The sequence below is a fragment of the Homo sapiens genome, chromosome 7, assembly GCF_000001405.40.
Source record: "Homo sapiens chromosome 7, GRCh38.p14 Primary Assembly".
Taxonomy (NCBI): domain Eukaryota; kingdom Metazoa; phylum Chordata; class Mammalia; order Primates; family Hominidae; genus Homo; species Homo sapiens.
In genome coordinates, this window is record NC_000007.14 from 27,683,180 (window position 1) to 27,698,694 (window position 15,515).

The 15,515-nt window shown below is 38.8% G+C and overlaps 1 long non-coding RNA gene across 1 annotated transcript in view, besides 1 other annotated feature; it reads left to right on the forward strand.

Annotated features, from left to right (window-relative positions):
• The window catches only part of LOC105375211 (uncharacterized), a 75,204-nt gene that overhangs the window by 35,334 nt on the left and 24,355 nt on the right, over nucleotides 1-15,515 (forward strand). The gene's annotated exons all lie outside the window — the stretch shown is intronic.
• Nucleotides 3,211-3,505: a silencer, noted in NCBI's record as "tiled region #14722; HepG2 Repressive DNase unmatched - State 8:EnhW". NCBI's record gives its function as "represses a minimal TATA promoter and a strong SV40 promoter by Sharpr-MPRA in HepG2 cells {active_cell/tissue: HepG2}" and the evidence as "EXISTENCE:reporter gene assay evidence [ECO:0000049][PMID:27701403]".

Below are 15,515 nucleotides of genomic sequence, written 5' to 3' on the forward strand. Positions count from 1 at the left end.
ACTTTGCTCTATGTATCCTGTAACATGATGTCGTATACCTTAAATATACACAATAAAGTTTATTTTTTAAAAAGTATCATAAGTGGGGTAGCTTATAAACAACAGAAATTTATTTCTTACAGTTCTGGAAGCTGGGAAATCCAAGATCAAGGCACCAAGAGATTCAGTATCTAGTGAGGGCCCGCTTCCCGGTTCACAGATACTGTCTTCTTGCTGTGTTCTCACATGTTGAAGGGGTGAGAGATCTCTCTGAGGCCTCTTCTACCAGGGCACTAGTCCCATTCATGAGCACTCCACCCTCATGACGTAATGACCTCCCAAAGACTCCATCTCCAAATTTCACCACTGAATGTATGTTAAGAGTTAACATATGAATTTGGGGGTGACACAGACATATAGTCCATTACACACCCCAAATAGTTCTCCATCATTCACTTCAATCACCACTACAACAACTCATCTAGAAGAATCCCATGCAGCCCAGAACTATCAAGCCTTTTGAGACCTAAAAGACTAGACTCTGAAGTCTAAAATACAGCCAACAATAATTGTTTTATAGATGGTGTCCATGAAATGTTCAGCTTCGCTTCCATTATGAGGTTCTTTGGGAATATCTCCTTTTGCTGGGCATACAATGAAAAACAGATAAGCTTCAATGTTCACAGTTGCCATTGTTTCTCTTGATAGCATCAGTATTTACTCTATATTGGGCTAAATCTGGGAGAGATAGAATGTTCATGGTAATTTTAACATAAATTTAACATAACTTTAAAATTTTAACATAATTTGTATTAGCAAGGAAAGATTCTGTAGCTTATTTTTTAGGCTTTTTGTGGGCTTCTCTCTGTAACCTTTACATTGTTTCTTTGTAGACAATCATTAGTGAAGGAAAGTTAGACCTAATGAGTCCCACTTTGGAGTTTATAATTATTTCCTCATTGTGATGATAATTATTCTATATCCTCTCCAAGTCTGACATTCTTGAAGATATAGTTCTATTTCTATTCCCCCAATGGTTGTATCCTAAGTAATAGGATAATCTAACAACTGATCTGTATCAAATGAGAGAACCTCCTATAAATTATATCTTTTTAAAAGACATATTATGATCATTATTGCCAGGCATTATTCTGTTGCAATAGAAGAAAAATTAATTCATTTTCTTTGACAGTAATTTACAAACTTTTTGGAGGCAACAGTGGAAAGGCTTTTATAATAGCATTGAGGAAGATTAGAGTAGAAGTCATGGTCTTTGTTGGTTGCCTGCAAGGCACCAATTTCCCTCTTTTCCCTTTTCTAACAGTTTCCTAATTCAGGTTCCAGTATAATTCTTCTCTCGTACTTCAGGGAACACTGTTGTACCTAGCTCCAGAGGAAGACCATTTTGAATGAAGGGTAATGTCATCTCCCTTGCCACAGTGACTGGTACAGGAACCCAGGCCTAAGCTTATCTGCATATGGCGTTCCTTTGACCACAGGGATTAGTTCAGGAATGACATAAGAACCAGTTTAAGCCAATGAGACATAAGAGGACACGTGCAGAATCTTCTGAGAGCTTTTCTCTCTTTCTCTGGACATTAAGGAGAGCAGATGTGAAGGTAACATTTGGTCATGAGAAAAGCCAATGTGAAAAGGAATCTAGCCAGGCACGGTGACTCATGCCTGTAATCCCAGCACTTTGGGAGGCCAAGGCAGGTGGGTCACTTGAGGTCAGAAGTTTGAGACCACCCTGGCCAATATGGTGAAACCCCGTCTCTACTAAAAATACAAAAATTAGCCAGGCGTGGTGGCTTGTGCCTGTAGTCCCAGATACTTGGGAGGCTGAGGCAGGAGAATCGCTTGAACCAGGGAGGTGGAGGTTGCAGTGAGCCGAGATTGCACCACTGCACTCCAGCCTGGGTGACAGAGCAAGACTCCGTCTCAACAAACAAATAAACATTAGCTGGGCATGGTGGTGCACACTTGTAGTTTCAGCTACTCAGAAGGCTGAGGTGGGAGGACCACCTAAGCCCAGGAGGTTGAGGCTGCAGTGAGCCGTGATTGTGCCACTGCACTCCAGTCTGGGTGGCAAAGTGAGGCCCTGTCTCAAAAAGAAAAAAGAGAAAGAAAATAAATCCAACAAACAGGAATAAATAACAGTCTTGGCAGCCTGCACCAGGTGAAACCTGAAGCCTGCCCTACTCTGGACTTCCATTATGTAAATTCCCAGTTACATAAGCCAATGAAAACTAAGTGAAGTCTGGTTTTCTGTTACTTTCAAAAACATTCTAAATGAAATGGTGAGTTAGTTTTAATTTTATTTCACTTTTGGAGTATTTTAGAGCCTTAATTCATGCCTGTAATCCCAGCACTTTGGGAAGCTGTGGTGGGTGAATCACCTGAGGTCAGGAGTTCAAGACCAGCCTGGCCAACATGGTGAAACTCTGTCTCTACTAAAAGCACAAAAATTAGCTGGGCGTGGTGGTGGGCGCCTGTAATCCCAGCTACTCAGGAGGCTGAGGCAGGAGAATCACTTGACCCCGGGAGGTGGAAGTTGCAGTGAGCCAAGATCGTGCCACTACACTCCAGGCTGGGCAATAAGAACAAGACTCTGTCTCAAAAAAAAAAAAAATTATAAGCATATGGTAAAATTCAAGCAGTGTAAAAGGGCAATCAAAGTAAATGTCCCTCTCATTTCAGGCATCATTCATCTCTCCAGAGTCAACCTCAGACAAGTTTCGTGTGTGTGTGTGTGTGTGTGTGTGTGTGTGTGTTTCATTTCTACTCAAATACAAGACAATATACACATTGTTTTACATCTTGTTTATTGTACTTTATATATCTTTCAATCAATACATATAGATCTATCTCCCTTTTTAAAGACTGCATGATATTATATTGTATGGATATACCACAATTCATTTAACCAATTCTAATTTTTTACCATTATAAATAGTGATGAAATGGACATCTTTAAATTTACATCTTTAGACAAAGATGTGAATAGAAATCTGAGGATAAATTCCTAGAAATGGAATAACTGATTCAAAAAACATGCATTTTACATTTTAACAGCAATCGCCAAAATTTCTTCTAAAGAGGTTCTATACATTTACATTCAAGAATAAGATAGTTTTGATAATAGAAAAAGTTCTATCCACCCTCATAGATTTCCAAAAGCCTTAGCTGTTGTCTATTTCAAAATTAGCAGACAATATGGTCATCTCCTATATGCTAGGCACTTTGCTAAGCACTTAATATACACTAACTTATTTAATACTCAGAACAGTCATGCAAGGCACAAAAGGATGAAGTAATATGTCCAAGGTCACACAGATAGTAAGGAACAAAGGAATTAAGTAACATACCAAGGTCACACAGCCAGGAAATGGTGAGGCTGAGACTAAACACTCATAAACTGACTTCAGAGCTCATGTGTCAGTTGCTATCCTGCCTCACTACTTTACTTTTTTATACTAATCAAAGTAATATGTATATATGGTTAAAATTTTTTCAGCTTATAAAAGCAACTATAATGAGAGACAATAGTCCTCTGCTCCCCAGAAACCACAGCTTTTAATCACTATGATTTTACTTCTAGTAGAGACTTCCATACATCTAAATAATACGTTCATATTTTCATTGCTTGATTTATTTGTTGATCTCCCACTTTAAAAGATGAGGATTTAACTCACTCTACTTACATCTACATCTCTTTCCATTTTTCCTTTTTTAGATATTTGATTGTTCTATCATTTTTTAAACTTTGTAATATTTAAGTTTTATTTATTGTTGTCTTACTCAAAGACAGTATTTCTTAATTCCCCATCATGTTTTTTTTTTAAAAAAAGGTTATTAGTGTCCCTATGCTTCCATTTACTTTTCTTCTTCAATTTTACCTACCAATTTCTATCAGCTTTATCTTTCTTTTACATTGTCAAGGGTGGTTTATATTCTGTTCTGTGGTCATAACATAATAACATTTTCTGTATCTTATCTATAAATTGATTCTAAAAGTTGAATCATAATTAATAACACATTTATTATTTAGACTATAAAGGTATTGTTCAACAGAGAGCCAGGAAGCTTGCTTTTTTTCAAACTATAGATTCCATTTAGGATTGCTGTATACATGAAGGAGAATGCTTCTGACATCATAGTCAACTAGATTGTTTTTGTTTTTTTGTTTTTGTTTTTGTTTTTTGAGACGGAGTTTTGCTCGTCTCCCAGGCTGGAGTGCAATGGTGTGATCTTGGCTCACTGCAACCTCTGCCTCCCGGGTTCAAGTGATTCTCCCGCCTCAGCCTCCCAAATAGCTGGGACTACAGGTGTGCACCACCACCCTCGGCCAGATTGTTTTTTATACTCTGCCTTATACTGTATTGTATTTCCTTTATACTCTGCCTTATACTGTATTGTATTTTCCTTGTACTCTAAATACAATATAATCCTTGTACTATAAATACAGTATAATATACAATTAAGTTATACTGTATTTTAGATTGATTAATATGAGGAATACAACTTTATTTCAGCATTTTTGTTTTCCTGGAGTTTCTAATTGCCTTGCTTTTTTTTTTCATGAAAAAAAGAACATGCTTACTTTCTCATATCCAAATATCTTTCAACATTTTATTTATTCTACCTATGACATGGGATTCTTTCCTTTCTTACTGAAAATATTCTTTTTAGTCCCCACTGAATTCTTGTTCCAATTTGGAAAGACTTATTTCTAGGCCCGCAGTACCCAAAATAAGTTCTTTTTATTTAACTCCTGAGTAGTTCCACATTTTCTGTATTCTAAGTCATTTTCTTTCAGATTTCCCTCCCTCTTATTTTTTTCTTGGGTACATCAAGTAACTTCCTAAGAAAAGGAGTTTCTGAGACCTAAAGTGTCTTTATCTTCTTCTCACGCTTACTTGATGGTTTGACTCCAAGTTCTCCAGCCTCAGAGTTTCTCTGAAGTGCTGCCGGTCAAATTCATTCCTACTGCCACTGAAGCCCCTCCCGACTGTATCTGGGTTATGGCTTCCTTCCTTCTGTTTAATCCATTACATGATTCCATCTCTTTTCTGACTTCCATAAATTTAAAACAAATCTCATCTGTTGGTGATTCTCATTCCATTCTCTTCATTCTTGTCATTTTATTTCCTTTCCAATTTTTGTTCCTTTATTGCCATTTTAATGGCATCCAGATCAAATACATGTGTACAGTCTGCTATTGAAAATAGAGGCTTCTCCCTTGTCCTTTTTATTTTTTAGAGTCGCAAAGATTGTGTTGTTGGTTGTCATCATGCATAAGAATCCACCTTTCTACTTTTTCAACGAGCCAGGCACTATAATGTATGCCTGTAATTTCAGCTATGTGGGAGGCTGAGGTGGGAGGATCACTTGAACCCAAGAGTTTGTAACCAGCCTGGGAAACACAGAACGACTCCATTTCAAAAAAGAAAAAAAAGAAGTAGCTCATGGTAAGATCTAACCTCTTATGTAATCATATAAAATTGAACTATATAGGTGGGAATAAAACGTTACTTTCCAAAAATAGTATGCAGTTAGCATTTCAACATGGCTTTAAAGTCTCACCATGGATCTCACAGGAGTTCACTTGTCTATTTGTCACGAAAGCATTTAAGGAAATAACTGAATGAGAATTCCTATTAAGCACTGGTGACAGCCTGAACTTTTTGTAGCATTGATGGAGTATGATTTAGGGTGGAGTCATACTAGTCTGGAACTAAGTGAGTGCAAGTGGAATGAAATGATGCATTATTCATATTTTGTTATTATTAGCAATTAATTACAAACATATTACCTAGAAGTAGTGGTGCGCTAGTAAATGTTTAAAAACTGACTCTTCAGGGAATAAAAGTGTGCATACATATTTATATGTGTGTGTGTACATATAAGTTTATTATAAATTTCGTGACATAAAAGATATAGAGCGTACGATTTACAAATAATAATAAAATATACAATACTTTTATTGTGACTTCATGTAGCCAATGGATTTGTGAAGAATGCATTTGTTAATTTTTGCCAAACTTTTGTTTCTGTAGCCAACATATGGTTACAATTGAGCAATGATTTGACAAATGGAGTTGCATCTCAATCTGCTAACTCTTTCCCCAGTAAATCTTTTGTCATTAAATCTGACATGTGTACTTTATTTTTCATGATGGCTTCATTTAACAACCAGCTTGCAAAATTCCTGAAAATTTAATACTCAGCTCTCACAATCTGGTACAAGCCAACTCCAGCACACCGTCACTTACAACTCCACTTCACTTACAAACTCCATGCAGAGAAGTTTACACTCCTTCCAAACTCCACTTACCAACTCCACTTCTCTGACTTGAAGGACAAAATGAGGAGCCATCTATTTTTGTTATCCAAATAATACTTCTCTGACATGAAAATATCTTTCTTCTCTGTAATCCCATCTCTCTGACCATTCCCACATCCCACCATAGGAAATCCATACACCTCAGGGACTGTACAGTCAGGTCTGCCTCTAGAAGAGAAAACCAGAAATTTGGCTCAGAGTGGCACACTGGGCTAGATCTAGGCTGTTGCTGGTGTCATAGCCACATGATGGCACTATTGAAACACAGGTGTTGCAGCTGCCTCAATACCCCCTCCATACCCAGCCCCCAGCTTGTCCTCAGTCATGCAAAGCCTACATCTCTTCTAAAAACCTCACATCTCTGTCTCCTTTCACACCCAGTTCCTTTCAGTGCAGGAAGTTCCTTAAGTGCCAAAAGCCCATGGGCATTCTGCTTGCCTAAAAGTCATATCACAGGACCTTCCTGTTGCATCTGTCCTGGCAACTTCTACCTTTTGACATCTGATTTTTAGACTCTGTCATCCATAAGTCACCAGGGCCTTCTCTGTCTCTCACTGATGCAGGCAATGCTTTGTCCGAATACCATTCCAGGGCCTGGGTTCAAGTTCTTATAATTTGTGTGTCCTTATTTATTTGTGTCTTTCTGTCTTCCATTGTTTACTTTATCTGCATGGCCTGCTCCATATGAGATCCTAATGGGAAAACTTGATTGTTTATCATTTTCCATAAGAAATCCAACACAACTCAGCATTTTTATGTTTTGGTAGCCTCATTGAAGTGTTCCCAGTTTCATATAAATATCACAGGGAAAGACTCTAATTGGCCCCGCTAGGGTCATATGCCTACTACTGGGCCAGTGTGTGGCCAGGAGGATGGAATACTACGAATGATTAGACCTGCATCGCATGACAACTTCTATGATGGTAAGAATATAAATGAAAGCCCAGAACTGCATGGAGTGAAGGAGGAGCAATATCCTCAAAGAAGTGGGAAAGTATTACCTGAAGATGGGAGACAGAAATACCGAGAGGATAAATGCAACAAACATTTCCTACTGGTAGAGATTTTACCCTTCCTTATGGCTAGTTCTCCTTTTTGGGATGTTTTACAATTCATGGAGAAAATAGGGAATTATATGCTTTGGGAAAGAATGGTAAAATGAAAACATATTTACCATAAAGTGATGCTGAAGAATGTCCTTTGAAGCATTCCTTTGAAATATCAGCTTATCTATTATGAAGCTTGGATTTTCACCCATATAATTGGCATTATCAAAGCAGGGGCATGATTTTGGCATGCTTTCAAACTCTCTGACATGTGGCATTACTTTAAATTCTCCCTTAATATGCTGTCATTATAATTTAGGAGCTTCAGTGGAAAGTAAAGCAGAAGCTGCCTTATACTACTTTGGTAAAGCCAAAAAATGCAAAATAATCCCACTGCTATTTATTCTACTATTCTAGTTTTATATTTTTGTCTTATAGACTTTTTCATCTCTAAAAATTCAAAACATATAGATTAAAATAAAGAAAATAATTTAACTTTGGAATGTGAGTTCTGCCAATAGTGGAGCGTGTTCACAAAGGAGTTCCTTTTGCCCTACTGATTTTCTGGCGGCCTGATGCTGTTTGCATGCCTCACCACCGGAAGCCTATCTTCTATCTAGCATCTTCATAGCACATGCACTTCTAAAAAGAGTTCAGGGGAGTAGGCTTCAAACTGGATACTCATATATTCCTAGGGTACATGAAGACTTTCCAAAAGCACATTGTGATGGATAGTGCAATCAGTTTCCAGATTCCCAACTTCTACATCTTGGTTTCCTGAGAGCTCCTTTTAAGGCCTGCCAATATCTGCCTTTACACATTCACCCTTCTTCCATCTCAGAGAAGACGGACTTATCTCTCTCCCAACTTGAATCTTACCTTGGTGTATTGCTCTGGCGTATACAAATCTTGAGGATAACTCATAAGGGGATAATTTAAAATGCACTGCTTCTGAGGGGGCTTCTTCTCATTCCTCCCTAACAGAAGAAAGAAGGAAAGAAAGAGAGGGAGGGAGGGAGGGAGGGAGGAAGGAAGGAAGGAAGGAAGGAAGGAAGGAAGGAAGGAAGGAAGGAAAGAAAGAGAAAGAAAGAAAGAAAGAAAGAAAGAGAAAGAGAAAGAAAGAAAGAAAACAAGAGCAAAGACAGTCTCAGTAAAAATTACTAACGCCTGGCCGGGTGCAGTGGCTCACGCTTGTAATCCCAGCACTTTGGGAGGCTGAGGCAGGCGGATCATGAGGTCAGGAGATTGAGACCATCCTGGCTAACACGGTGAAACCCCGTCTCTACTAAAAATACAAAAACTTAGCCGAGCGTGGTGACGGGCGACTGTGGTCCCAGCTACTCGGGAGGCTGAGGCAGGAGAATGGCGTGAACCCGGGAGGCGGAGTTTGCAGTGAGCCGAGATTGCGCCACTGCACCCCAGCCTGGGAGACAGACCGAGACTCGGTCTCAAAAAAAAAAAAAAAAAATTTACTAAAGACTTATTTTATCCAGGCAACAAACTCTTGGCAAATCTCCATGCCTTCTCTCTCTACCTTGTCTCTGTCTCTCTCTCTACCTCGTCTCTGTCTCTCTCTTGTAGAATTAAGATTCACAATGATAGGCCATTCATTTAAATTTTGAAATGATAGGCAGTAAGTCTGATTTAGCTGATTGGTTTGACAGGAGAGACTGGCTTCTCCAGTAACGTATTTGTACAGTGGACTTACTCCATAAAGTGAGCGAGCTAAACCTGCAGCTCCAAGGATTTGATAAAAATAAAATTAGGCCAGCCACTGTGCCTAAAGCCAGTAATCCCAGCACTTTGGGAGGCTGAAGGGGGAGGATCACTTGAGGCTAGAAATCCAGATCAGCCTGGGCAACATGGTGAGACTGCCACCCCCTCCCCCAACTCCATCTCTACAAAAAAATGAAAAATAAGCTGGGCACAGTGCTGTGTGCCTGTAGTTTTACTACTTGGGAGGCTGAGGCAGGAGGATCTCTTGAGCCCAGGAGTTTGAGGCTTCAGTAAGCGATGATCAAGCCGCTGCACTCCAGCCTGGGCCACAGACAGAAAGACCTTGTCCCAAAAAATAAAATAAAGTACATATTCAAATTATAATACACCAGGAAATACATTATTTGCAATGACTTAAACTTAAGATAAAATATTTTTAGATATCCTTGTAAAATGTTCAAGAGACCCGTTGTTTTTCAAAATGCTTTGGAGATTAAATTTGCAAAGAATTTTGAAGGCCCTGGGTCTAAAGAACCAGAAAAATACTTTGAACAGTTTAAACTCTATTAAGAAAATATAACTATATAACTTACAGCCATAATTATTAAAAATACCCCATTGAAAAGAGAAGGATGGAAAAGAACATAACATGTTAGTAAAAAGTCAGTTAACTAAGCAAACTTTTTTTTTTCTTTTTTTTCTTTTTGAGACGGAGTCTTGCTCTGTCACCTGGGCTGTAGTGCGGTGGCACGATCTTGGCTCACTGCAACCTCTGCCTCCCAGGTTCAAGCGATTCTCCTGCCTCAGCCTCCCGAGTAGCTGGGATTACAGGAGCCCACCACCACCCCTGGCTAATTTTTCGTATTTTTAGTAGAGACGGGGTTTCACTATGTTGGCCAGGCTGGTCTCGAACGCCTGACCTCATCATCCACCCGCCTTGACCTCCCAAAGTGCTGGGATTACAGGCATGAGCCACTGTGCCCGGCCCTTTTTTTACTCTTGAGTCTATTCAAATGTGGGGATTTTCCTGTTGAATATAGAATTTGGCCAGAGGACATACTAGCTTTCAGTCCCACTATCTTTTATGCTATAGGAGGGAAGTACCTGGTGTTTAAATTCAATTTTCCCAATATTTAAGCCTATTACACTTATATTTTAACCCCTACAAGAGCAAACGTTTCTGATTACAGTTCTCCTGGTGGTGGTTTTTCCCCTCTGCTAAATATTTCTCAAAAAAGAAGAAAATAGCAATTTCCCCATAGTCTGGTAGATCCCATGACTATTTCTACCCTATGAAAAAGAAAATCGCGAAAGAACTACTAACTTTTACTTTCCCTCTTCCACCTCTGCTGCTTAGATACCTTAGGGTCACTTAACACAATTATAATGAAAAATTAATTACTAAAGTTTGATTATATTAAATTGCCAGATGGTTTCACTGACCCAGAGCCAAACTGGTTTTTCTACCAGAATTTTCCTCCCTGTTTCTAATAACTAAAAAAAAAAAAATTGAAACTATAATATAAAGACTGTAAATGCTAAGCAGCACAATTTTCTCCACAAACGGTACCCTCTTACCCATTAATTTGCTGCCAGCTGAGAGAAAAATTTAGCAGGGACAGGGAGACCCCTGAGAGGTAGAGGGAGGGAGAAGAAGCGACTGCAAAGAGAAAGGGAGCTGTTTGGAGATGTGCATGTGACAGAGACAAACTTCCTATTGCATAAGCTTGCTTCTGGCAAGGCCAGGCCTTGAGGACAAGGCTCTCTTTAATCACCACATTGAACCTGGGATGACCTTGGTTTGGGGAGACATAGTAATGTATTGATACATATTTGGAGCAGAGGGTTAATTTTTGATTTAGCTTTTCTGCACTTAATTTTTATTTTCTATCTGCCTTGTAGGCAAAGCCCTTGCGATAATAAACTAGGTGTGGCTACAACTTTTGGTACAAAAATCGAGCTTTGAAAAAGATATTCTAGCTATAGACTTGGAAGCGTTTTTCTTTTTTTCTCTTGTTTCCATAATATTTTTGATGTAGTGGCTGATTCATCTATATTTTGCGCTTGCATCCTGTAAAGATTTTTCTGTTGACTCATTTGAGGAGTAAAAACTCCCCAATTTTTTTTTCAAGAATATAATCCCAAAAGAGTAATTACCTGTTCCCTGTGGTGATAGGAACATTTTCTAGTCTCATCAGCAGAGACTGCAGAGCACAGCCAATGAACAATGAATAACTGTTAATAAGGATAAAGCCATAAATAAGCAAAATTAAAGTGTGATTCATTATAAATTGTAATGGTGGACATGTTACCAAGAAGAAACAAGTTAACTACTCATGTAACATATTTTAAAATGATGAGAAAACCATTCATTGGTACAGAACTCTTCCTCAGCTCAGATTAAATGAAGATTTAAGTGCAGTTAAGTGTATACACGTGCACTAGAGAGTAGACAGAATCTTCTTGCCAACTGCTTCATACTAATAAGGACACTGAGGTCACCGAGGAATTCACTGAGACTCTGTCTACGCAAGGGCCCAAAGTCATCAGTTTTGAGACAGTTCCTTACAAATCTGTTTTCACTATCATGTAGGAATAATCATAATTTTATAATATCAATATGGTCTACCTTATAACTTTTGCGAACCAATAGGCATCCCCCCAATTCCCCCAGTTCCTCAGCAGGTGCTGTTAAGGTAAAGCTTCTGTTTGCCTAGCCTTCTAAGGTTAATCTAATCAATATTGAATTATGTATTGACTTACTTCTTCAAGGCACCAAACCTATTTTCCATCAAGAGAATAGGAGAATGATGTACCAGAAAGCATACTGCAGACCAGAGGACTGACTCAATGTTTTAGCATGATATAGGATGAAATACAGCATAAGAAAGTGCAGGCAAGGAGAAAACATACGGATGGGAAATATATCTTGTCTGGAAACACAAATTTAAAGCATTCCCTTCCATATACTCTGATCAAGACGACAGAATGAGTTTACTTGGAAGCAACATCCTACCCACAAGAAAACCACCCTCTGCCCTCCACAGCATCATAGACAGAATGTTTATTTTAATAAGTCTATACTTAGAAGTGATAAAGAAAAAAATTATTCAATGATGCTTGTTAAAGCATGCTAAAGAAGACTTTATTCAGGAAGACTGCAATAAGTGTAAGAACCATGGCGAGGGGATTTTGCAGTGGAGGAGAGAGATTGGGCTCAACTCCGAATACAACACAGGCAAATGGGAATTTATAGCCAAGAAGCAGGGTAGGGCTCAGTGGATAAAAATTACTAAGAGGACACATTAAGGGTAAGGGGGATTCTGGTGAAATTGACCTAACAGGATTCTTGCTGAAGACAGGCCAGGGTGATCAGACATCTCCTGCAGGATGGCGGAGTTTGAGGAACCTGATCAAGCTATTGAGGGTGATAGGAAATGCAGGATGGAGAGTTCTTGCTAAACTGACTTAGCAGGGCTCTTGCCAAAACTGGATTTTACAAGGAAGAGCATAGATGGGCCTAGGAGAAGGTTCAGGAGCCTGACTAAAATTTGGTCAAGCAAAGCATCTTTGTCAAAAGACATCTCCAAGTTCCAAAATGAGAAGCTTAAAATGGGATTTGAAATATGTCTCTATGTACACATGGAGAAATAAGAAACATGATAAATTTATGTATTTTCTTTTAGAGAAGTTTGTGATATATTAAGTAAAAATAGTAAATTGTGGATTCACATTTATAATTCTATTTCACAGAAAACAAACTCAAAAATCAATCTGTGTGTGTGTGAGATGAGCAAATTATATAGGCTAGATTATACTATATAATTTGTGAAATGATACATGTTGGTCATTTAACATGTGAGCCTTAGATGGCAGAGACAGAATATATACATAAAATAGTTTTTTGGCTTTTTAAAAGAGACAGGGTCTTGCTGTGTTGTCCAGGCTAACTGGAACCCCTAGACTCAAGTAGTCCTCCTATCTTAGGCTCTTAAGTAGCTGGGACCACAGGCATGTGCCAGGAAAAATTGTTTTTTTAAAATATAACTTTGTATAATCTCAGTTGTTACAACTAGCCTGTATTATTTTTATAGTTTGAAAATCCCCAAATTAAGGGAAGTATAAAAAAAATTACATGACTAAGTTTAACATAGTTTCTAGATTCAATAGTAAATTTCATACTGATTCAGGATTCATTTGTAAATTTTCTAAATTTCATCTAATTATAAAAATATTAAATATTCATTTAAGAAATACTGAACAACAGAAAATCACACAAGTACAAAGAAAATAGGTAACACCAATAATTCCAACTCTTAGAGATAAATATTATGAACATTAATATTTTGGTGTAATTATTTCTGGTCTTTTTTTTTCTATGTATGCTATGTGTGTGTTTGTATATTTAAAACAAAAATTAAAAAAAAATACTTTCTATACCCCACTGTTTTTGAAACCCAACAAAGGTTTTCCAAAAAATCAAATATCTTTTTTTTTTGAGATGGAGTCTCGCTCTGTCGCCCAGGCTGGAGTGCAGTGGCGCAATCTCGGCTCACTGTAAGCTCCGCCTCCCGGGTTCATGCCATTCTCCTGCCTCAGCCTCCGGAGTAGCTGGGACTACAGGCGCCCGCCACCACACCCAGCTAATTTTTTGTATTTTTAGTAGAGACGGGGTTTCACTGTGTTAGCCAGGATGATCTCGATCTTCTGACCTCATGATCCGCCTGCCTCAGCCTCCCAAAGTGCTGGGATTACAGGCGTGAGCCACCGCGCCCGGCCTCAAACATCTTTCTTTAGCAGCAGTGTAGTGACTATACTGCACACTGTAAGGGCAAGGATTATATTTGACTAAAATGAAACGGTGATTTAAACACAAAAGCAGGCAGTTTAGGGATGGTGTGGTGGTTCCTTGACGTCAAGGCTGACTGTAATTGTGGGGCCCAGTGCAAAATGAAAATGTGGGGGCCCCTGTTCAAAAATTTAAAAAGTGTTTCATTAAGAGTACTGAAACATAGGCTGAGCGTGGTGGCTCATGCCTGTAATCCCGGCACTTTGGGAGGCCTAGGCGGGCAGATCACCTGAGGTCAGGAGTTCAAGACCGGCCTGGCGAACATGGTGAAAGCCCGTCTCTACAAAAATACAAAAATTAGCTGGGCATGATGGCAGGTGCCTGTAATCCCAGCTACTTGGGAGGCTGAGGCAGCACAATCGCTTGAGCCTGAGAGGCGGAGGTTGCAAACAAACAAAAAAAGAGTACTGAAATATAAAGATTTTTCTTTTCTACTGGGACCTCTCTCTTGACTTGCCCTGGTGTTTTTTTAAAATTTCCTATTGTTGATCTAAGTAACAAAAAATACGTAAAAACGTAAATTGATAGCATGAATTTTACCCTTCATCTTTATATTAAGCAATGCTAGTTTTAAATGCAAATATAAGAACATTTAATGTGTGTACATGAGATCACCGAAATCACATAATTCATATTTTATAATATGTGTGTGCATTTGTACTTTGTTCTTAACCAGAAGAATGAAAATGTTGCACAAAATGAAATTAACTGTTTTTATTTCACTTCTTGATACAAGCAGCTTCTACCAACACTTTCTACCTTTGGCTTACTGATAAGTAAGGAAGGACTGAAATTAAAAGGAACTATGGGCTGTCTAACTTCCCTTTTCCTTCTATGTTATTATTTTCAGGGTAAGTTGTTGACTACTACAGGGAAGTAACATAAGTAAGAAATGACACAACAGGATTCCTTGATTGTTTATGTTCCTAGAAATGCCACTGCCTTCTTTCTGCATAGCAAGTTCTAGTTCAGATGGAAAGTGTGGCCTCTTGGGGCCATCAGTACTCCAATTAATTAGTCATAGATCTAACACATTTTCCTTGTACACTCTGAGTCTCATTGAACTCTCACTCATTGTGGGGCCTCCGGAATTCAGAGCTCATGAGACTACATGCAAATAGGGCAACAAGAAACAGCAGACGTGCTGATTGTGTGTAACTTCTCTTTTCACACACATGCTTCCTTGTTCTACTAGACTTTATGTAGAAAGCACAACCTCAGGCTCGGTGTGGTGACTCATGCCTGCAATCACAGCACTTTGGGAGGCCAAGGCAGGCAGATCACTTGAGCTCAGGTGTTTGAGACCAGCCTGGGCAATGTGGCAAAACCCTGTGTCTTCAAGAAATAAAAAAATAAAAATAAAACAAAACAAAACAAACGGACGTGGACGCACATGCCTGTAGTCCCAGCTACTTTGGAGGCTGAGGAGAGAGGATCACTTGAGCTCAGGAGGCAGAGGCTGCAGTGAGACTGCACTGCAGCCTGGGCCATAGAGGGAAATCCAGTCTCAAAAAACAAAACAAAACCAAAAAATATAACATCAAAGATGACAGTTATTAAAAGTTTCAAGGTAGCAATA